Here is a 23823-nt window from a genome sequence, read left to right on the forward strand (position 1 = left end):
GCCTCAGAACTGATTTAAGTGACATGTATTAAGATGCTCCATGATTAAATTTTTTGATTAAAAATTCTGGAAAATTTTTCCACAGGCATTTAACATTTTCTGTTAATAATATTAATTAAATCAGTTACCTCTGAGAGAGATGCATCAACCTTGGAAGAAATTTTCAGGTCTAGCCATGGCTGGTAGTTTTCAAGTAGCAAAGAAGGCCTAAAGAAAAATTATACAACTAAATCACTTGAAATCCAAATGTAATTAGAAGGATCAACAAATAAAAAAATATTTAACTTACCTATGTCGTTTACATTTCACTTTACCACAAACAGCACAGCTATGACCTTGAGGAAATAATTCCTGAAGTCCTAACTGCTAAAAAAGGAAAATGAGAGGTGGTGGGGAGATCCATCTTTACATAACATCTTTATTTAAAAGAATCAACTTTTCAGAAGTTTTTAAAATCAATGTATAAATTCAAAGAACATTTTTTGTCTACTTTAACAGTGAAATCTTTCTTTGTAATACATAATACTGGCTAAACTAAACCATCAGAGAAAAAAATACCACATGAAATGCCTTATAATACCTAAGCCAAATTTCCAAGCTTAAAGTTAAAATCAATTGTTATGATCACTTAAAAAAAATTCAGTCTATATTTGAAAGTGATAATTTGGCCAAGCACAGTGGCTCACACCTATAATCCTAGCACTCTGGGAGACCGCGGTGAGTGGATGGCTTGAGCCCAGGAGTTTGAGGCCAGCCTGGGAAACATGGTAAAACCCTGTCTCTACAAAAAAAATTCAAAAATTAGACAGGTGTGGTGGCACATGCCTATAATCCCAGCTACCCAGGAGGCTGAGGTGGGAGGATCACCTGAGCTCAGGAGTTTGAGGCTGCAGTAAGCCGTGATCCTGCCACTGCACTCTAGCCTGTGCAACTCTAGCCTGTCTCAAAAAAAGGAAGAAAGAAAAAAGAAAGTGACACTCTACTGCAAAGGCATAATAAGAAAAAACTATTTTCTCTTTCTCCAAAATCTTGAATTCAATGACAAAGGTACGAGGTAACTATTACAGTTCCTGATCAAATATGGGGCACCACGTTCAGTTGTGTTTCCTCTGAGTAGAAATACCAACAAACCCAAGACAAGATACTACACCAACTTAAAGAATTATTAAGCCTTAAAGATATCCCACTAGGCCAGGCGCAGTGGCTCACGCCTGTAATCCTAACACTTTGGTAGGCCGAGGCAAGTGGATCACCTGAGGTCAGGAGTTCGAGACCAGCCTGGCCAACACAGCAAAACCCCGTCTCTACTAAAAATACAAAAATTAGCTGGGCCTGGTGGCGTGTGCCTGTAATCTCAGTTACATGGAAGGCTGAGGCAGAAGAATCACTTGAACCTGAGAGGCAGAGGTTGCAGTGAACCAAAATGGCGCCACCGCACTCCAACCTGGGTGACAGAGCAAGACTCCATGTCAAAAAAATAAAAAGGAAAAGGAAAAGATATCCCACTAAACCCTAATCTACAGACCAGAACCTTGCTTTACAGAGATAGACTCACCACATTACCACCCTTCATTAAATTTCAGAAATAAATTACTTTGGTTATATAAACTGCCTAATTATATCTCTGTTTCTATGAAGCACACAAACATTTAAGAATTTAATAGGATTAGATCATTTAACCCAGAACTTCCTCAGTCTGTGCCTCAGAATCAGCTGGAAAGCTTCTAACAAGTACTGATTACAAGGCTCTAACCCAGAACTATTCAATCAAAATCTGGTAGTACACCCCAGGAATCTGTATTTTTTAATTCCCCAGGAGATTTACTGTACAACCAGCTTTGAGAACCTGTGATTTAATTTATTGTCCTCACGGTTAATAGAGGACACCCTAAAATTGTGGATTCCAACTTTCTGAAACTTTTGTACCATATTTTCTTTTTATAGCTCCTCTAAGAGAATTGTATACCTTAAAAGCATACACATATACAAATCTTATTTTGAAAATTTTCTAATAGACTTCCATTATTAAATAAAATTGGATGGATTTTTTTATAATAATAAAATCATTTTATAATAAAATCACTGCTTTTAGCAGAGTACCTAAAAAAAACAAAAAAAAAAAAGAGAAGAAATTGAAAGAAAACAAATTTTGTAAATTAAAAAAATATACTGCTTTAGCAGGCTTTCAAATAATAAACAGCTTAGGCTCATATACATTGATTCTTAACAATAAGAACACATAATTTTACCTTGGGTTTGTATTTTATTGTGAAGAATATATTTGGTAAGAGAGAATCAGGTCCTAGTGAGCAGTAGAATGTGACAACTCCAGCAACAAATGACCAGAAGATCATTAAAATATGAATATACCTTAAAAATAAATGAAAATAATTATTACAACCAAAGAAAATGCCTAATTCTAAGTTACCGCTTCACTGACTTAACAAGCATTCATTAAGCACCTACAATATCAGATTGAAGCAATTTTTCAAATTATGATTAATTTTTTGTAATGTATTAAATACAAGAATCATAAGATGTATGCTATCAAATACATATTTCATTTAAAGGATAAGGAAGCATAAATGATCAATATTTCATAATTGGTACCTATGTTTAACTAGTCTATACTACATTCTTCCAGAATACCTTCTGATGATATTGTAGTATTCATATCCCAACAAAATTCTGATTATTTTTCACTACATCAAAAAAATTTTACTAAGTACCTATTTTGTTATAGACAGAGGTAGGCCCTGGGAATACAGTGAGGAACTGCACTGCATAGTCTCTACCTGCATGGAAAACACAGTCTAGTAGTGGTGATACGTAAGTAAAAATAAGCACAATACTATGTGATCACACATGTGATATTACGACAGAAAGTCTGTGTGATATGGGAATACCACAGGCTGATTAACCCAAATTTGAAAAGAACAGAAAAGTTTTTTCAGAGAAAGCAATATCTACAGAAAAACTTAAAGGGTAAGTAGGAACAAATAAACAGAAGAGGATAGGATAGAGGTATGGGAGACTGGAGAAGAGGCAGGGGAATTCAAACTTGAGAGAAACACATGGGCTTAGGTCTGTGTGAGCACACTTCCAAGGAAGAAGGCCTTAAGATGAATCTAAAAGCAAAAGCAGAAGCCAAATAATATAGTGTGATATAATGGGCAATGTGTGTCTTAATACAGGTAGTCCTCACATTGCACAGTTCTGATATGCAAAAATTTCAGATACCATGATTGTGCTAAATAACACCAGTCCCCCACAACACAGTTCAAATGCCAATGACCACAGTATTATTTATTAACTGTGAGTAACTGTATAAAGTACAAACTCTGCTAACTCATCAGTCCACAAATCACTATATAAATAACAGATGTGCATCATGATCAGGGACCAATCACATCAGTTCTGTCAGTGACTGGTCACTCACTGCACATTGTTATTCTTTAGTGCATGCACAGACAGGAAACCATGGAGTTGTGTTACCTCCCTGTCTCCCAATAATAAATCTGCAATACACTTTACAAACATGGACTTTGGCCCACAAATATTAAAGAGAAACAAAGAAATGAACAGTGGTAATGCAAGAAGTAAAATTCAAATCAAATGTAAATGAAGTACAGAAGAAATAGCTGACTGTGGGAATGATGACAATGCTGCTGTTCAACAGATTCTATGCAGCCAGACAAAGGTAGTGAACTTTTTGACAACAATGAGAAGAGTGGTTATGGCACAAGGATGAAAATGTCCCAGAAGAAGTGACACCAGCAAAGGAACTTTTGGAGATTTCACAACATTGGATAAAACATTGAAAGTTGATCCAAACTTAGGAGTATGGTAATTCACCTATGCATGAAAAAGATATTCGCTCCATATCCCATGTTATCGGATGAGAAGAAGACAAACACTGTTTAAGTTACTCTTAATATGTTTTTTACAAAGAAATATAACACTTTAATTCTCAATGTTTCTAATGTTTAAAATTACAGTGTACTACTCACTTTACTATTTTTTTCATTTCCCTATACTATTATAACTGACAATGAGAGTTTTCAATGTCTTGACAAAATTTTTTAAAACTCAATCGTAATTTTCCCATTGACTGAAACCATTTTGCACAGTTTCTGCTTGCACAATCATTTTTACAGACCCTCACTACCAGAGAAACCAGGGACTGCCCGTATTATCTTACAAGAAAATGCACTGTAGGGATCTAATAATTTGTAGACTCAGTAGAGACTACAATCCCTTCTGCAAAGTGTTCTTTCTTTACACTCTATTCATGAAGTTCAAATGGGAATAAGAGCTTTTATCTCCCTAAGATTCTATCTCCCTCACTCAAGACTGGATTAAGAATAGACAAAACGATGACAACAACAACAAAATAGGCCAATCATAGCATCTTCTTCCCTACCTACAGCTGACTGGTTCAGGGATGGACACCATCTGAGACAACCTAGTGAGTAACAGGCATTTGAAACACAGTAAATTGCACGAACTGACAGAGTAAACTGCATGAACTGGGGTCCAACCAGTCTCATTCATCTCATGATAGTAGAAATGTGAAGCTGTAATAAAACTGACAGCCATATGCTTTGTCACTTAAAGGAAAGCGGAGTGAGAAGAGAATGATGCCAGAATTCAGAGAGGAGAAAAAGGAAGGGGAAGAAAGTATTGGCAGTATTCCAAATCCTGCTTCCATGTGTTTCTGGGGCCCAGCTACACTCCAGTTATTTCTGCACTTACAAAACCTTCCAAGGCTTGCCCTTTGTTAAACCTAGTGTGAGCTGAGTTTCTGTTATCTACCATCAAGAGTCCTGAGTAATACCTATGAGACAATTAAGAGATTTAAGAAGATTTTAAAAAATTTTCAAGAGTTTTCAGAAGGATATCATTAGATTAAATAATAGGAAGACCATTCTGGATGAAATATGGAGAATGGCCTAGACTGGAAACACACAGCCTAGTTAGAAAACTGTTGCAGTAATCTATGAGAGTCAGTGATGGCCTAAACTAGGGAAGAGACTTAGAGATCTTAAAAAGTGAATTATTTTGTGAGACACTGGGAGGAAAAATCAAGAGGATTAAGTAGTTGATTAGATGTGAGCAGAAGGAGCCAGGTACAGTAGCTCATAACTGTAATCCTAACACTCTGGGAGGCCAAGGCAGGCAGATCACTTGAGGTCAGGAGTTTGAGACCAGCCTGGCCAACATGGTGAAACCGCATCTCTACTAAAAATAAAAATAAAAATTGGCTGGGCATGGTGGCGCATGCCTGTAATCCCAGCTACTAGGGAAGGTGAGGCAGGAGAATTGCTTGAACCTGGGAGGTGGAGGCTGCAGTAAGCTGAGATCACGCCACTGCACTCCGGCTGGGTGACAGAGCGAGACTCCGTCTAAATAAATAAATACATAAAAGCAAGCAGAAGAGAAAAATAAAAAATCAGTTCTCTTTGGGCATGTTAAGTTTCAGATATTTTAAAACACGCTACACAGAAATGTTCCACAAGCACCTAAATATTGGGTAGTCTCAATCTCTGGAGAGAATATGGGCTAAGGATAAAGGTTTAGAAATTATCAACATAAATATCACTGAAGCCATAGGAATAAATGACATGACCCAGGGAGAATCTACAGAGTTAAAAAAGAAATGAGCATAAGATATTTAAGAACCAGGCAGAGGAAAAGAAATCTATAAAGGAATCAAGTAATTAGAAGAATTGGAAAGAAAACCAAGGGTCGAGTCATAAAAACTGGCAAGGTCAAACACAAACGAACAAACAAACAGAAAAAAAAATACTACAGAAATGAAGTGGACAACATGACCAAATGTTTGTAAAATAAAAATTGAGAGGTGTCCATTAGTTTTCACAATAAAAGAGGCACTGATTAACCAGGCAAAAACAATTTTAGAATGGCAAAAGGCTACAACGGATTGAGGAGTGAGATGGAGGTGAGGAAGTGGGATTGGTAAATGTAGATAATTCTCTTTCTAAATAAAAGGAGAGCTAACACAGTAACTGGAGGGGGAGAGTAAGTTAAGGTTTTTGATTAAAAACCTGATCACATTTAAATGGTGATATAGGAGAAAAGGAGGCAAGAGGGAAAGAAGTACAAAAAAAGAAATAATGCGTAAATACTATCTTACAGAAGGTAGGAGTTGTTAGGATTCAGAATCTACATGGAAGAAACAGTTATAAATGAGAGAAATGTCTCTTTCCCAACACCACACAGGATGCATAGAAGGATGAATATGCAGTTACATTTGTAGATTTGGTAACAAGAATTAAAAGCCATATAATGGCTTTTATATAGAACAGGAGATCCTGAGAGTAAATGACAAAGGTAGCATGACAGAGAGTAAATAACAGAGGTTCTAGAAGACTGGGGAAATTCTGACACAGTTGCCACAGAGAAGGGAAGAGGGGGGTATCCTGGGGAACTGCTGGACATTACTGAGGCTGAAGACAATGAACTTTCAGTTGTGGGATCTTTTCCAGCAGCATTCAGTTTTCAGAATATGAACCTAAAAAAAGCAAACAGCATCAATGATCCCAGATTTGGATTCTGACAGGCGAGTAGAATGGAAGGGATGGAGTTAAAGATACTAGAAATAGACTGCATGAAATGACTGATGGACCAAGCTATCTGTCTAAGCTAGACTGGCTCTAAACTGCATCAGAAAGTAAACTAACAACAGAAGAGGGACAACATACAGAAAGAAAGCAGGGTCAGGAGACTGAAATGTCAAGAAGCAGGGACAGTGTGACTGACTAAATGAAAGAAGTTGACACTGGTGAGTAAGTGACATATTTGATTCTTAAGATTTCAGAGGTAGCCGGGCGCAGTGGGTCACGCCTGTAATCTTAGCACTTTGGAAGGCTGAGGCGGGCGGATCACCTGAGCTCAGGAGTTCGAGACCAGCCTGGCCAACATGATGAAACCACGTCTCTACTAAAAGTACAAAAAAATTAGCCGGGCATGGTGGTGTGTGCCTGTAATCCCAGCTACTCAGGAGGCTGAGGCAGAAGAATCATTTGAACCCAGGAGGCAGAAGTTGCAGTGAGCCGAGATCACGCCACTATACTCCAGCCTGGGTGACAGAATGGGACTCCGTCTAAAAAAAAAAAGATTTCAGAGGTAAACAGCTGGCATGCCACATACCCAAGGATGGCCTGGCCATCATCACCCAAGTGACCAACCCCAAAGAAGACAAGAGCCAGGTGCCGGGCATGGGCAAGAAAAATACCTGTTCACTACAGAGATAACTGAAATGACAGCCAAGCAAAAAGCAAAAAAAGTAAACAAAAGAACCATAAGGAGAGAGAGAGGCAGAACAAGATAGCCAAATAGAAGGCTCTCATCATCCTCCCCACAGGAACACCAAATTTAACAACTATCTAAACAAAAAAAACCTTCATAAGAATCAAAAACCAGGTGACTGATCACAGTACATGATTTTAACTTCATATTGCTGAAAGAGGCATGGAAGAGGGTAGCAAAGGCAATTCTGAAATTGCCAATACCCTTTCTGCAGCCCCCAGAAGTGGCCACATGTCAAAGGAAAGCACACGGCTTGAGAGAGGGACAACACAGTGATTGTGAGAATTTGCACTGAAACTCAGTGCTGCCAACACCAGGAAGAACTTAGCCGATGCCCAAAAAGAGGTCATTTACACATGTCCTGGCCAGAGGGCAACTGCTCATCCCAGTAGTCCAAACCTGAGTTTCAGCAATCCTTGACACCACAGGTTAAAGTGCTCTGAGTTCTTAAATAAACTTGAAAGGTCTTAAGTAAACTTGAAAGGCAGTCTAGGCCACAAGGACTGTAACGCCTAGGCAAGTCCTACTACTGTGCTGGGGCTCAAAGCCAGTGGACTTGGAGGGCATGTGAACTAGTGAGACATCCTGTGGGGAGGATGATGAGAGCCTTCTATCTGGCGATCTTGTTCTGCCTCTCTCTCTCCTTATGGTTATTTTGTTTACCAAGGCAGCTAAGGGAAGGCTTGTGAAACCCCTCTCCAAGTCCCAGGCAGTGCAGCTTGCAGGTCCGAAAGAGACCCTTTCCCTCTGCTTGAGGAGAGGAGAGGGGAAAGTAAAGATAACTCTGTCTTTCAACTTAGATACCATCTCAGGGACAGGAAGACAGGGAACTGGGCAGAGTAATGAGGCCCTCATTCCAGGCCCTAGCTCCCAGACAACATTTCTAGACACACCCTGGGCCAGAAGGAAACCCACTGCCTTTAAAGGAAGGACCCATCCTGGCAGGATTCATCGTCTGCTGACTAAAGAGACTTTGGACTGAATAAAACAGCAGCAGTAACCAGGTATTCACACAGTAGGTCTTGGGTAAGACTGAGGTATGCCGGCCTCAGGTGTGTCTAGCACATTCACTGCTCTGATGGCTACAAAGAGAGACTTCTTCTGCTTCAAAAAAGCAGAAGAAAAGGTAAAGGGGATGTCGTCTTACAGCTCAGGTACCGGCTTGGCCAGTGGGGTAGAGGACCAAGAGGGCTTTTGGGGTCCCCAATTCCAGGCCTTGGCTCTTAGATGCCATTTCTAGACCTACCCTGGGCCAAAGGGGAGTGCATTGCCCTGAAAGGTGAGTTGCAGGCCTGGCACCATTCACCACAAGCTGACTAAGGAGGCCTTGGGCTTAAGTAAACATTGACAGTAGTAGTTAGATTGATAGAGTCTAGCAGCACTCCCATGGGCTTATGGTGGTAGTTGACACGGAGAGAGGCTCTTTTGCCTGGGGAAAAGGAAGAGTGGTAAGGATTTTGTCTTGTGGTATAGGTGCCAGCTCAGCCACAGTAGAATAAAACACCAGGTAGATTTCTAAGGTTTCCAACTCCTGGTCCTGGCTCCTGGATGGCATCTCTGGAACCACCCCATATCCAGGGGAACTTGCCACCCTGAAGGGAAGGACACAAGCCTGGCTGGCTTCACCACCTGCTGATTATAGAGCCCTAACATAGTCAGTAGCCAGATAGTGGTTACAGTGGGCCTTGGATGAGACCCAGCGCCTGTGCTGGCTTCAGGTCTGACTCAGCACACTCCTACTCCTGGTGGCCAAAGGGTTATTTGTGTCACCCCTCCCCCAGCTCCAGGAAGCTCAGCACAGAGAGAGACTCCATTTGATTGGAGGAAAGTGGGAGAAGAGAACAGGAGACTCTACCTGGTAATCCAGAGAATTCTTCCAGATTTTATCCAACACCACCAAGGAGGTACCTCTGTAAGTCTGCAAGAACCACAGCGTTACTAGGCTTGCAGTACCCCTTAATGCAAATATGGCTGCATTGACCAAAAACATAGATGATACCCAAATCCCTTCGAATACCAGGAAAGGCTTCCCAAGGACAGGAAACAAACAAGCCCAGAATGCAAACACTACAATAAATAACTCTTCAATACCCAGACACTGAAAAACATCCACAAGCATCAAGACCATGAAGGGAAACATGGCTCACCAAACAAACTAAATAAAGCACGAGGGACCAATCCTGGAGAAACAAAGATATGTGACCTTTCAGATGGAGAATTCAAAATAGCTGTATTAAGAAAACTCAAAGAAATTCAAGATAACACAGAGAAGGAATAAAGAATCCTATCAGATAAATTTAACAAAGAAGCTGAAATAATTAAAAGAATTAAGCAAAAATTCTGGAGTTCAAAAATGCAACTGACATATAGAAGAATGCATTAGAGTCTCTTAATAGTAGAAGTGATCAAGTAATAGAAAGAATTACTAAGCTTGAAGACAGGCTATTTGAAAATACACAGAAAAGACAAAAGAACAAAATAACAAAACACAACTAAAAGATTGAAAAAATAGCCTTGAAAGGGCAAATCTAAGAGTTACTGGCCTTAAAGAGGAGGCAGAGAGACAGATCAGGATAGAAAGTTTATTCAAAGGGATAATAACAGAGAACATCCCAAACCTAGAGAAAGGTATCAATGTTCAAGTACAAGAAGATTAGGAACACCAAGCAGATTTAACCTAAGGATGACTACCTGAAGAAATGTAATAATTAAACTCCCAAAGGTCAAGGATACCAAGAAAGGATCCTAAAAGCACCAAGAAAAAAGAAACAAATGACATACAATGGAGCTCCAACGCATCTGGCACCAGATTTTTCAGTGGAAACCTTACAGGTCAGGAGAGACATAGGATATAAAGTGCATGACATATTTAAAGCGCTGAAGGAAAAAAACTTTCACCCTAGAGTAGTATATCCAGCAAAAATACCCTTCAAACATGAAGGAGAAATAAGGACTTTCCCAGGCAAACAAAAGCTGAGGGATTTCATGAACACCAGACCTACTGTACAAGAAATGTTAAAGGTAGTTCTTCAATCTGAAAGAAAAAGGAAAAACCCTATATTCATCAGACATAAAGAACACTGAAAACGAGAACTGAAGGAGATAGAGACACACACAAAAAAAACCTTCAAAAAAGCAATGGATCCAGGAGCCGATTTTTTTTTTTGAAAAGATTAGCAAAATAGACCACTAGCCAGACTAATAAAGAAGAGAGAGAAGAATCAAATAGACACAATAAAAAATGATAAAGGGGATATCATCACTGATCTCACAAAAACACAAACTACTATCAGAGAATACTATAAACACATCTACTGAAATAAACTAGAAAATCTAGAAGAAATGGATAAATTCCTGGACACCCTCTCAAGACTAAACCAGGAAGAAGTTGAATCCCTGAATAGGCCAATAACAAGTTCTGAAATTGAGGCAGTAATTAATAGCCTACCAACCAAAAAAAGCCCAGGACCAGAAGGATTCACAGCCAAATTCTACCAAAGGTACAAAGAGGAGCTGGTACCATTCCTTCTGAAACTATTCCAAACAACAGAAAAAGAGGAACTCCTCCCAAACTCATTTTATGAGTCCAGCATCATCCTGACACCAAAACCTGGCAGAGACACAACAAAAAAAGAAAATTTCAGGCCAATATCCCTGATGAACATCGATGCGAAAATCCTCAAAAAAATACTGGCAAACCGAATCCAGCACATCCACCATGATCAAGTCGGCTTCATCCCTGGAATGCAAGGCTGGTTCAACATACACAAATCAATAAACATAATCCATCACATAAACAGAACCAATCACAAAAACCACATGATTATCTCAATAGATGCAGAAAAGGCCTTCAATAAAATTCAACACCCCTTCATGCTAAAAACTATCAATAAACTAGGTATTCATGGAATCTATCTCAAAATAATAAGAGTTATTTATGACAAACCCACAGCCATTATCATACTGAATGGGCAAAAAGCATTCCCTTTGAAAACTGACACAACACAAGGATCCCCTCTCTCACCACTCCTATTCAACACAGTATTGTAAGTTCTGGCCAGGGCAATCAGGCAAAAGAAAGAAATAAAGCGTATTCAAATAGGAAGAGAGGAAGTCAAACTGTCTCTGTTTGCAGATGACATGATTGTATATTTAGAAAACCCCATCATCTCAGCCCAAAATCAACTTAAGCTGATAAGCAACTTCAGCAAAGTCTCAGGATACAAAATCAATGGCAAAAATCACAAGCATTACTATACACCAATAACAGACTAACAGTCAAATCATGAGTGAACTCCCATTCACAACTGCTACAAAGAGAATAAAATACCTAGGAATACAATTTACAAGGGATGTGAAGTACCTCTTCAAAGAGAACTACAAACCACTGCTCAAGGAAATACGAGAGGACACAAACAAATGCAAAAACATTCCATGCTCATGGATAGGAAGAATCAATATCGTGAAAATGGCCATACTGCCCAAAGTAATTTATAGATTCAGTCCTATCCCCATCAAGCTACCATTGACTTTCTTAACAGAATTAGAAAAAAAAATACTTTAAATTTCATATGGAAACAAAAAAGAGCCTATATAGCCAGACAATCCTAAGCTAAAAGAACACAGTTGGAGGCATCAAACTGCCTGGCTTCAAACTATACTACAAGGCTACAGTAACCAAAACAGCAAGGTACTGGTACCAAAACAGATATATAGACCAATGGAACAGAACAGAAGCCTCAGAAATAACACCACACATCTACAACCATCTGATCTTTGACAAACCTGACAAAAACAAGCAATGAAGAAAGGATTCCCTATTTAATAAATGGTGTTGGGAAAACTGGCTAGCCATATGCAGAAAACTGAAACTGGACCCCCTCCTTACACCTTATACAAAAATCAAATAAAGATGGATTAAACACTTAAACGTAAGACCCAAAACCATAAAAACCCTAGAATAAAACCTAGGCAATACCATTTAGGACACAGGCATGGGCAAAGACTTCACGACTAAAACACCAAAAGCAATGGCAACAAAGCCAAAATTGACAAATGGGATCTAGTTAAACTAAAGAGCTTCTGCACAGCAAAAGAAACTATCATCAGAGTGAACAGGCAACCTACAGCATGGGAGAAAATTTCTGCAATCTATCCATCTGAGAAAGGGCTAATATCCAGAATCTACAAGGAAGTTAAACAAATTTACAAGAAAAAAACAAACAACCCCATCAAAAAGTGGGCGAAGGATACAAACAGATCCTTCTCAAAAGAAGACATTTATGCAGCCAACAAACATATGAAAAAAAGCTCATCATCACGGGTCATTAGAGAAATGCAAATCAAAACCACAATGAGATACCATTTCATGCTAGTTAGAATGGTGATCATTAAAAAGTCAGGAAACAACAGGTGCTGGAGAGGATGTGGAGAAACAGGAACACTTTTACACTGTTGGTGGGAGTGTAAATTAGTTCCACCATTGTGGAAGACAGTGTGGTGATTCCTTAAGGATCTAGAACCAGAAATACCATTTGACCCAGCAATCCCATTACTGGGTATATACCCAAAGAATTATAAATCATTCTGCTATAAAGACACATGCACACGTTTGTGTATTGCAGCACTATACACAATAGCAGAGACTTGGAACCAACCGAAATGCCCATCAGTGATAGACTGGAAATACTATCACCATGAAATACTAGGCAGCCATAAAAAAGGATGAGTTCATGTCCTTTTCAGGAACATGGATGAAGCTGGAAACCATCATTTTCAGCAAACTAACACAGGAACAGAAAACCAAACACTGCATGTTCTTACTCATAAGTGGGAGTTGAACAATGAGAACACATAGACACAGGGGAGGGGAATATCACAAACCAGGACCTGCTGGGGAGTGGGGGACTGGGGGAGGGATAGCATTAGGAGAAATACCTAATGTAGATGATGGATTGAGGGTGCAGCAAACCACCATGGCACATGTATACCTATGTAACAAACCCACATGTTCTGCACATGTATCCCAGAACTTAAAGTATAATTAAAAAAAAACAAACAACAACAACAACAAAAACACTGAAAACCAATAAGCTAAGCATTCAGAAACTTGGGGGGAAAAACAATAAATCCAAACACATGAAAAGGAAGGAAATAGTCAAGAGCAGAAATCAACAAAATAGACAACAATGACAAATTAACAAAATATAAGCTAGTTCTTTGAAAAAATTAATAAAACAACCAAACTTCTAACTGGATACTAATGGAGGTTAGTAGGGTACCAATTATTACTCTAAAAATTGATAAAGAGTAAGCATTTATCCTACTTTTCCAATTTGAACTATCTATCAGAATAACTAAATAGACCTAACGGATGGAGTAAAGCAATTCTACAAAAAAGAATCAAACTTAAAAATACAGAAGAAATGAGAGAATTCGAGAATAACCATGTTGTAACCCATAATTAAGTAACTGATTCAAGAAATAAATAAATGGTAAAACCAAAGAGTAAGTTTGTTGGACACAGTATCGGTGGACATTAACTGAACCCATTAAAAGTGAAGCAATCCTATCTTACATATCCACTGATGTGATGCAATGGAATGTACATGGCATCACTAAAGTCTTCTTGCACCACTCCCCGCAACAGGAAAAAAAAAAAAAAAAAACTAAATCTAATTGAGCCTATAGATCAAACACTGTGACTACCAAAAATACAAATGTGAGGATTAAAATACAAGACACTACAAGGAAACCACAACAAAATCCAGAATGTGAACAAATGATCCAGTTTCCTCAACAAGTCAATGGCAAGGAGAAAAAAATGGTGAGGAGGGATCTTCCAGATCAGCAGTTGACAAATGATGGCCTGTGGACAAAAGTATACCTGTTTTTGTATGCCCCTCATACTAAGAAAGGTTTTACATTTTTAAAGGGTTTTTTAGAAAGAAGAATAAGCAACAGAGACTTAGCATGGTATACAAAGCCTAAAATATTTACTACCTAACACTTTACAGAAAAAAATGTGTCAACCCTTATTCTAGATTACAAGACATTTAGAAAAGCTTGAGATGTAGGAACCAAATAGGAGTACAACTTGTTTAGATACCAATTAGAACAACTGCACTATATATTTTTACCCAATAGGGAAAATTTTTATTATGGAGTAGTTATTAGATGATATTAACCAATTATTGTTAATTTTGTAATATTATAGTTTTGTATGGAAGTGATTTTTTTTTTATTTCTATCTTTTATAGAGACATGGTCTTGCACTGTCACCCAGGCTGGAGTGTCGGGGCACAATCATATTTCACTGTAGCCTTGAACTCTTGGCTCCAGGAATCCTCCCACCTCAGCCTCCCGAGTTAGCTAGGACCATAGGCTCGCTACTTTTTTTTCTTTTTTTGGTACAGACAGGGTCTTTCTGGCCAGGTGCATAATTTCAGCAATTTGGGAGGCCGAGGTGGGCAGATCACTTGAGGTCAGGAGTTTGAGACCAGCCTGGCCAACATGGCAAAACCCCATGTTGGGAGTCTCCACTAAAAACACAAAAATTAGCCAGGCATGATGGTGGATGCCTGTAATCCCAGCTACCTGGGAGGATGAGGCACAAGAATTCCTTGAACTGAAGAAGTGGAGATTGCAATGAGCCAAGATCACGCCACTGCACTCCAGCCTAGGTGACAAAGTGAGACTCCATCTCAAAAAAAAGAAAGAGAGAGAGACAGTGTTTTTCTATGTTGCCCAGGTTCATCTCCAACTCCTGGCCTCAAGTGATCCTCCCACCTCCACCTCCCAGAGAGCAAGAATTACAGGCATGGGCCACCTCACCCACTCTATAAGACATTTCTTAAAAAGATAAGGCAAAAAAAAAAATATGGCAAAATATGGATAGTTGTTAAAGTTGAGTAATGGGTGCTTGCAAGTTTTTTACACTCTCTTATGTATGCTTGGAAATTTTCAATATCAAAAGTTAATTAAAAAGACAAACCTCTAGCAAGACAGATCAAGGATACAAATATACAAAACACAGAATGAAAAAAGTAACCATAGCTATACTGAAATAAAAAATAAGACTATGAACAACTATATATTAATACATGGAAAATCTATATAAAATAACTTTTAAAAAATTTTTTTGAGACAGAGTCTCGCTCTGTCATCCCAGGCTGGAATGTAGTAGCATGATCAGAGCTTACTGCAGCCTCAACCTCTTAGGCACAAGTAAGTGATCCTCCCACCTCAGCCTCCTGGGTAGCTGGGACTACAGGCACACACCACCATGACCAACTACTTGTTTGGAGAGACGGGGTTCCGCCATGTTGCCCAGGCTGGTCTCGAACTTCTGGGCTCAAGTGATCCTCCCACCTTGGCCTCCCAAAGTGCTAGAATTACAGGCGTGAGCCACCAAACCCCGCCTTAAATAAATTGTTTAAAAGATAAAAATGCAACAACTAGTAAGTGAAAAATTAGAGAATTTGAATAGAGCAATTATCATTAAAGAAATTAAAATAGTAATTAGAATCCTGGTTGCCAATAAAAGGCCCCTGGCCCAAATGGTTTTACCAAACTTTCATGAAACAGATACATACCTTATACAAACTGCTTCAGCAGGGGAGGAGCGGGGGGCAGGGTGTGTGTGGAAACTGCTCATTTAAAGGGCTAGGCCAGGCACAACAGCTCACACCTGTAATCCCAGCACTTTAGGAGGCAGAGGCAAGTGGATCTCCTGAGGTCAGGAGTTTGAGACCAGCCTAGGCAATATAGTGAAACCTCGTCTGTACACAAAAAAACTTAAAAAATTAGCTCAGCCTATATATAGTCCCAGCTACTGGGAGGCTGAAGTGGGAGGACTGCTTGAGCCCATGAGGTGGAGGTTGCAGTGAGCCAAGATCATGCCACTGTCTAGCCTGGGTGATGGACTGAGACTGTCTCAAAAAAATAAATAAGGCCAGGCTCGGTGGCTCACGCCTGTAATCCCAGCACTTTGGGAGGCCGAGGCAGGCAGATCACAAGGTCAGGAGACCGAGACCATCCTGACTAACACGGTGAAACCCCGTCTCTACTAAAAATACAAAAAAAAAATTAGCCGGGCGCGGTGGCGGGCGCCTGTAGTCCCAGCTACTTGGGAGGCTGAGGCAGGAGAATGGCATGAACCCGGGAGGCGGAGCTTGCAGTGAGCCAAGATAGCGCCACTGCAGTCTGGCCTGAGCAAAGAGCGAGACTCCGTCTCTAAATAAATAAATAAATAAATAAATGGGCTAATATAATTTTAATTCCTAAATCAGATAAAGACAATATACATTGGTCTCCCCGCAGTCAACAATTCACATACAACTTTTTACTCCCCCAAAACTTAACTCCTAATAGTTTACTGTTGACCAAAAGCCTTACCAATACAGTAATAGTTGGTTAGTACTTATTTTGTATATGTATTATATACTGTATTCTTACAATGATGTAAGCTAGAGAAAACAACATGCTATTAAGAATATCATAAGGAAGAGAAAATATATTTACTATTAAGTGGAAGTGGATTATCACAAAGGTCTTCATCTTCATTGTCTTCACACTGGGTAGGCTGAAGAGGAGGGGTTGGTCTTGCTGTCTGAGGAATTGCAGGGGTGAAAGAGGTAGAAGGGGATGCAGAAGTGGCAGGCACACTCGACTTTATAGAAGTACATCATGATTTCTGCCCGACTTTTTGCCGTTTCATTTCTCTAAAAACATTTTTATATAGTACTGATCTTTCTTCTACCATTTGCTTTAGATTCAGTGCCAGTATCAAAGAAGGGTCCATGTGATAAAAGAAGTGAAAAGCAGTCTTGATAATTGAAAACCTTCTGCCATATTGTCTACTGTCAATTTGTGTTCTGGCACCACTTTTTTTTTTTTTTTTTTTTTGAGATAGAGTCTCACTCTGTCATCCCAGCTGGAGTGCAGTGGTGCCATCATGGCTCACTGCATCCCAGGCTCAACTGATCTTCCCCACCTCAGCCCCCCATGTAGCTGGGACTACAGACGTGTACCTCCACATCCAGCTAAATTTTTTGTATTTTTTGTAGAGACAGGGTTTCACCGTGTTACCCAGGCTTGAACTCCTGGGCTCAAGTGAGCCATCCACCTTGGCCTCCCAAAATGCTGGCATTACAGGCATGAGCCACTGCATTTGGCCCCTGGCACTGTTTCTTCAAAGTCTTCTTCCTCACTGTCTAGCACTGGTTCCAAAGCACTCATCTTTATCAAGTTATATTATGTTAATTCCTCTGGTGTGATGTCTACTGGCTCTTGAATTTCTGTAAGATCCTTATGCTGAAAGACCTTTTTTGTCATATCCACAATCTCTTTCATGATTTCCTTGATTGGCTCTGGTGTAAATCCTGTGAGGTCACGCACAACACCTGGGCATAGTTTCTCCACTAGTAATTTATTGTTTCAAGTCTGATGGCTTTTACGGCTTTTTCTATAACAATGACTGCATCTTCAATGGTGTAATCCTTCCAAACTTTCATGATGTTCTCTCTATTGGAGTTCTCTTCCACAGCACTGACAATCCTTTCCATAGAGTACCATGTGTAATGCCTTAAAGTTCTTTATGAACCCCTGGATTTAGAGGCTGAATTAGAGACATTATGTCTGGGGACAAGTAGACCACTTCCACAGCTTCGATGTTGAACTCATGGGGTTCTGGGTGGCCAGGGGCATAGTCCAGTATCAAAAGAATTTTTAAAGGCAATCCCTGCTGGCAAGGTACTTTCTGACTTCAGGGACAAAGCATCAATGAAATTAATCCAGAAAGAATGATTCTTGTTGTCCAGGCCTCCTTATACAACCACAAGACTAGCAGCTGGTACTTATCTTTTTCCTTCAAAGCTCGGGGGTTAGACACTTCATAGACAAGGAACCCAACTGCATATCCATAAAATAGAAGAATTTGCGTACACCTTCCTGCCTTAAATCCTGGTGCTCATTTCTCTTCCTTACTAATAAATGTCCTTTGTGACATTTTTTCCAAAACAGGTCACTTTCATCAGCATTAAAAGCTTGTTCAGGGCTGCTCTGCCTATGGTGTAGCCATTCTTTTATTCTTTTGCTTTCTTAATAAACTTGCTTTTACAAAAAAACACCCACTCAGGAAGATATATTTAATACTTTCTCCTCAATGATTTTCTGAATGGTGTTTGGGAACTCATCTTCTGCCTGTTGGTCAGCAGAGGCTTTTTCTCCGGTTCTCTTGACATTTTTTAAGCCAGATCTCTTCCTAAAATTATCAAACTATCCTTTGCTGGCATTAAATTACCCAGTTTTAGATCCTTCTCCTTCCTTCTGCTTTAAGCTGTTATACAATGACTTCACTTGTTTTTGAATAGCATTAGTTTATATGTATGCCTTTCTCATAGCAATTCTGCCCCCACATAAAAGCTAAATTTTCAATAAAACATGAAAAGGTACTTTGCAAAAAGTACGAAGTTTTCACACCTGCTGGCATAGCTGCAGCAACAGCTTCATGAATTTCCTTTTCTTTTTTCACAATGGTCCTTACACTCAATTTATTTATCTTGAAATGGCAGGCAATCACAGCTGCAAACCTCAATCCATAGTACATACCAAGCATTTCACTTTTTCTGTAATGTCATTACTTTTCTCTGCTTCTTGGGAGTACTCCCAGTATCATTAGTGGTACTTTGTATGGATCCCATGGTATTCCACTCGGATTTCTGACTTCATAGGGGTCAGTGGCCCTAATCTCTGCACTGTTCAAGGATCAACTTCATATAAAATTATTTTTTATTTCAGAATAGATGTACCTAGTATACCCCATCTCAGAAGGGCCCATGTTTTCTTGTATAACAACATTTCAGAGATACTCTTATCATCTGTGTGTGTGTGTGTGTACGTGAATACACACATAAGTTTTTTTTTTTTTAATCACACATATACACTGAAAAGCATGCTACATACACCATCTGGCACCTTCCAAAAGATTTTTCCTGGAAAAGGGATACATAATCATGGTTTTATTCAAGACAGTTCTAGTGTTTAAAATCACTTTTGCTGACTACAGCAGTAACAAATGGAAAACACCAAAACATATGCAAAAACAGCTTCACTCATAAACCCAACCACTCAGGTAACATTTACCTGTATTTCCTACCTTCTCTGCATAAAAGAAATACAGGGTACAGGTTAGATGGTATACAGATCAGATGGCATCCTATGACTTTTTAATAACACACAACACTAAATGTTATGACCATAAGTAGATGACCTCAGAAATCTAGTTTAACCTGCTCCTACTAGATGGCTCTCCTACCTTAGAAACCTAAACTGACCCAGTTCCCAAAAGAGGTAGGTAAGAATCCATGGACAAAAGTTAATCATATGGGCTGCGTGCAGTCGCTCACGCCTGTAATCCCAGCACTTTGGGAGGCTGAGGTAGGTGGATCACTTGAGATCAGGAGTTCGAGACCAGCCTGGCCAACATGGTGAAACCCCCGTCTCTATTAAAAATGTAAAAAAAGTAGCCGGGCATGGTGGTGCCCACCTGTAGTCCCAGCTATTCTGCAGGCTGAGGCATGAGAATCACTTGAACCTGGAAGGTGGCTGTTGCAGTGAGCCGAGACCGCATCACTGCACTCCAGCCTGGGCAAGAGAGTGAGACTCCGTCTCAAAAATAAAAATAAAAATAAAAATCATATGAAGCTTACATTTCTTTCATACTAAACCTGTTAGTCTAGCTTGGAATACCTTCCAGATGACAGAAAGCAAATAATAATTAGTGTTCCCTCTGTTAAGGATCCCACTTCTCCCACACTCCTACAGTTCAAACATCTCACCATCACAGAGCACACTTCTCAGTAAAACATCAACTACTATTTAAGCTCAATAATATTTAAACCAAGAATCAACAAGAAAGCAAGGCCACTTTTAGGGAAGAAATCTAACTTCAACATAGTCACAAATAATGGTTACACCAGAGAAAAATGAAGTTACCAAATTCCTTGCGCATTCCTCCCTGTTGCTATCCTTGGGAATCAACTACCTTAAGATAAAGAGTAAGAATGGTTGCCTGTTCAAAACATCAGAGAAAACAGCTTGCGGATGCTGTCAATGAGAACTATCTCAGATTTCTTTCCACCAAAAGCAAATCTGGTGTTAATTTTAATGGAAAAGTCTCCTCTACTACCTATTGCATCGCAACAATTTCTTGAAATAGTAAAATGAAGTAAAACAAGTTTATTTCGGGGGCAGAATCTTCTGATTTCAAAATGTCAATTGAATTTATCAATTTTAACCTTTCGGAATATTTCAGGTTTTTTTGGGGAGGGTGGCATCAAGTCCTCTTAAGAATATTATAGGGATGTGGCCGGGTGCGGTGGCTCACGCCTGTAATCCCAGCACTTCGGGAGGCCGAGGCAGGCGGCTCACGAGGTCAGGAGATCGAGACCATCCTGGCTAAAACGGTGAAACCCCGTCTCTACTAAAAAAAAAAAAAAAAAATACAAAAAAATTAGCGTGGTAGCGTGGTGGCGTGGTGGCGGGCGCCTGTAGCCCCAGCTACTCGGGAGGCTGAGGCAGGAGAATGGCGTGAACCCGGGAGGAGGAGCTTGCGGTGAGCCGAGACCGCACCACTGCACTCCAGCCTGGGTGACAGAGCGAGACTCCGTCTCAAAAATAAAAAATTCTAAGGATGTTGGGACGGGTACCACTTTGCTTTCTGATTTCTGTCCAACAAATCTTTATGATCGTCTGTTTTATTCAACAATACTGCGGGAAAAGCTTCAGCTGCAAGCTGAGGGGGTGGGAGGTGGGGAGATGGAAGAACGCGCTGCAGGTGTGCGGATTCTGCCTAAAATTGCGGCTACGAACTGGACCTTGAACACTCCTCCGTCAGCTGACTTGACTGCCTGTGTACAGTCTCAATTTGAGCCGACACACGGATTTCACTTTTGAAAAGCAACGAAGATGAAGAACTCGTTTTGAGAAATGGATGAGAAAAAGGTAGCTCAGGAGACGAAGCCTCGGGAAAGGAGGCAATCAACCCCACCCCACCGGCCTGTGCTTCCGGCCTCGACGCTCCGCCGTGCTCCCCGAGGCCGCTCCTCTGCGGAGCTCGCTCTCCCCACTGGTCCCCAGTCCCGCAGCTACGCGGCCTCCGCACGGTTAAGCAGCACGGGCCGGGCGTCTGCACCTTCGGAGAAAAGCCGCCGCCCAGGCTCCGCGCTGCGGCGTTACCTGTTAAGAAGCAGGGAGGCGGCGCTGAGACAGAGCAGCAGGAAGCAGAACAGCGGGTACTGGCGGCAGATCTCGCGTCCCACGTCCAGTCGCAGCCGCTGCTTCAGCTTCTGCCCCATCGTCCGCACCCAGGGCACCATCTCCGTAACGGCGAGGCCGAGACTGCGCTACTGGCTGAGGCAGAGGTCAAGGCGACCCCCCATCCACACCTCGCGTCCCCGCCCCACCGACTTGGCGGCGCACACAGACGCCTACCGGCAGTTAGCCGCCGCAGGCTGAGGTCGCGTCCGGCTGGGCCCAGCCCCACGCCCCCCGCCGCGCGTGCGCGGCCGCGGTCCCCAGCCGACCAGAGGAACGGCCGTAGAACGTGCCCGAAGTCGTCACCCAGCGCAAAGCCTCTAGCGTCTCGCCGCTCCGCCCTCCTGGCCGGAGTAGCGCGCAGTCTTCCGTGGAAACTCTGACAACACTGGCGACCGGCCATTTCCGGAAATCAAAGGACAGCCCCAGCACCCAGTAACTGCCTGTATTGCGGAGGAGAGGGAAGAAGGTTGTAGGGAGCCCGGAAGAAACTACAGCACCCCCGTAGCCGCCGGGCGCTGCCTGAGGGGCAACCGGAGCTCGTGGAGCCCGCTGGGAACTGTAGTCTTCGTGACACGAACCCGCAGAGGGATGGAGCGGGTGGTAGCGCTTCCCCGACCCCGCAACGCTCCGCGCCTCACCGTACACTCGGCTCCGGGTGGGAGCAGGTCCGAGCTTTGCGTGACGCCTAAGGGAGAGGGGGATAGGAGGACGCCTTTGAGTCGGTATTTTAAAAGGGGTGTGTTGGGGGCTGGGGGGGTGGCGAGTAAAACAGCCCTAGAATAAAGACTACAACTCATCAGGCCGCCACCCCACCAACAAAATCTCTTTTGCGCGCTCACGGGCAAGGGTAGAGCTCAATTCACGCCGGCTCCGGGAGCCCAACCAAAATCCGAGTGCTTGGAAGAGGCAGGTTGGCAGATTAGGTAAAATCCCTCTTATAGAGTCTCATGGGGTTTTCCCTTTACTAATTCATCACATTTCTAAATTTTTTTTTCTGTATTGTCCGCTACAGTGAGAGATGCAGGAAGACTATTATCGCGAAAATTTACTTAGGCGGTACAGACACTAAGCACTTTCATTTGACCTTCATGCATTCACCCCATGGTGTAGGTACAGTACTATAGTTTCAATCATTATACAGGCAAATTACTGAGACAGAAAGGAACTTAGGATCATAAAACTAACAAAGCCGGAATTTGAACACGTTCTAAAGACAGAGCCTGTGCCTGTCATCTCTCTTTCCTAGGATCTTATCCTTCAAAGTGGGGAAACAAATGTTTTTTAATGATGTATGTAGTTTCATGAATATTTTCCCGTATTACAAAAACATGGATCTTTAATGATGCATTATTATCCTTTATCAGAATGTACCATCCTGTTCCATTATTGCTAACCACTAAAGTCCATTGATATTACCATCCTTGATGATAAACCTATGCACATTTCTAATTATTTAGAATCAACTTTAATACAATTACTGGGTCAAAGGGTAAAAACAAACATTCTTGATACAGTCAAACTGCTTTGTAGAATGGTGGTACCAACTCCACAGTGGTGTATAAAAGTAAACAATTTCACTGATCCTCACGATTAGCTATTATTGTCTAAACATCACAAATACACTTTTCTGTTTGTGACTAAACCATTTAAAAGACTACAGTGTAACATCATTGGAAAGCTTACCATTTTTTAATATTTCTAGGTACATATTTAAACATTTATTAATTTCACTTTGGCAGTTTTTAAGTATCTTTATCTGTTAATACTAAAATAGGTGTATGTTGAGTGGATCTACATGTATCAAGTGCCTCCTATGGACTTGAGTGCTTTACACTTTTGTAAATTACCTTTTAAAAAACTAATCTCATGACAAATAATGTAAGTTATTAACCTGCCTGGTAAATTATGTTGCCTTTTGTTTAAAACTTTTGCTTCCTTTTAAAGCCTTATTTTGAAATTACTCTTTTCACCAAGAGCCAGTATATTTTAAAGACAAAATGTTTTGAGTTCTGTTCAAAACAGACATCACTACAACATCCAATTAAAAGACTTCTTTCCCATCTGATTTCTTAGAGGCAATTAGAATAAGTTAACTGGACAATAGATAATTTAAATTTCCAAATTGCTCTTATGATTAGAAAAGGAAAAAAAATATAATAAACTTCAGCCATA

The 23823-nt window shown here is 40.7% G+C and overlaps 1 protein-coding gene across 44 annotated transcripts in view, besides 7 other annotated features; it reads right to left on the minus strand.

Annotated features, from left to right (window-relative positions):
* SNX14 (sorting nexin 14) overlaps nucleotides 1-21850 on the minus strand; it is an 88363-nt gene extending 66513 nt beyond the window's left edge. For 17 of the 44 annotated variants that reach the window (NR_146776.2, NR_146777.2, NR_146778.2 and 14 more), the window contains exons 1-4: nucleotides 21571-21850; nucleotides 2250-2370; nucleotides 290-366; nucleotides 129-207 (exon numbers count right to left, since the gene is read on the minus strand). Coding sequence is in view for 31 of the 44 variants with exons in the window: in NM_020468.6 (NP_065201.1) it covers nucleotides 129-207; nucleotides 290-366; nucleotides 2250-2370; nucleotides 21571-21710 (417 nt within the window). In the remaining 13 variants the exon portion in view is untranslated. Of the gene's footprint in view, nucleotides 1-128; nucleotides 208-289; nucleotides 367-2249; nucleotides 2371-9187; nucleotides 9251-16854; nucleotides 21093-21570 lie in introns of those variants that run through there. The other 27 variants (NR_146775.2, XM_047419127.1, NM_001350542.2 and 24 more) reach the window with 7 other exon arrangements.
* Nucleotides 20341-20926: an enhancer, noted in NCBI's record as "H3K4me1 hESC enhancer chr6:86302067-86302652 (GRCh37/hg19 assembly coordinates)". NCBI's record gives its function as "activates a minimal SCP1, AML or CMV promoter by ChIP-STARR-seq in naive H9 embryonic stem cells {active_cell/tissue: H9 hESC(naive)}" and the evidence as "EXISTENCE:reporter gene assay evidence [ECO:0000049][PMID:30033119]".
* Nucleotides 20927-21510: an enhancer, noted in NCBI's record as "H3K27ac-H3K4me1 hESC enhancer chr6:86302653-86303236 (GRCh37/hg19 assembly coordinates)". NCBI's record gives its function as "activates a minimal SCP1, AML or CMV promoter by ChIP-STARR-seq in naive H9 embryonic stem cells {active_cell/tissue: H9 hESC(naive)}" and the evidence as "EXISTENCE:reporter gene assay evidence [ECO:0000049][PMID:30033119]".
* Nucleotides 21511-22094: an enhancer, noted in NCBI's record as "H3K27ac hESC enhancer chr6:86303237-86303820 (GRCh37/hg19 assembly coordinates)". NCBI's record gives its function as "activates a minimal SCP1, AML or CMV promoter by ChIP-STARR-seq in naive H9 embryonic stem cells {active_cell/tissue: H9 hESC(naive)}" and the evidence as "EXISTENCE:reporter gene assay evidence [ECO:0000049][PMID:30033119]".
* Nucleotides 21511-22142: a biological region, named in NCBI's record as "H3K27ac hESC enhancer GRCh37_chr6:86303237-86303820".
* Nucleotides 21543-21712: an enhancer, noted in NCBI's record as "active region_24788". NCBI's record gives its function as "activates an Ori minimal core promoter by ATAC-STARR-seq in GM12878 lymphoblastoid cells {active_cell/tissue: GM12878}" and the evidence as "EXISTENCE:reporter gene assay evidence [ECO:0000049][PMID:35858748]".
* Nucleotides 21773-21992: a silencer, noted in NCBI's record as "silent region_17367". NCBI's record gives its function as "represses an Ori minimal core promoter by ATAC-STARR-seq in GM12878 lymphoblastoid cells {active_cell/tissue: GM12878}" and the evidence as "EXISTENCE:reporter gene assay evidence [ECO:0000049][PMID:35858748]".
* Nucleotides 22023-22142: an enhancer, noted in NCBI's record as "active region_24789". NCBI's record gives its function as "activates an Ori minimal core promoter by ATAC-STARR-seq in GM12878 lymphoblastoid cells {active_cell/tissue: GM12878}" and the evidence as "EXISTENCE:reporter gene assay evidence [ECO:0000049][PMID:35858748]".

The sequence above is a fragment of the Homo sapiens genome, chromosome 6 (assembly GCF_000001405.40).
Source record: "Homo sapiens chromosome 6, GRCh38.p14 Primary Assembly".
Taxonomy (NCBI): Eukaryota; Metazoa; Chordata; class Mammalia; order Primates; family Hominidae; genus Homo; species Homo sapiens.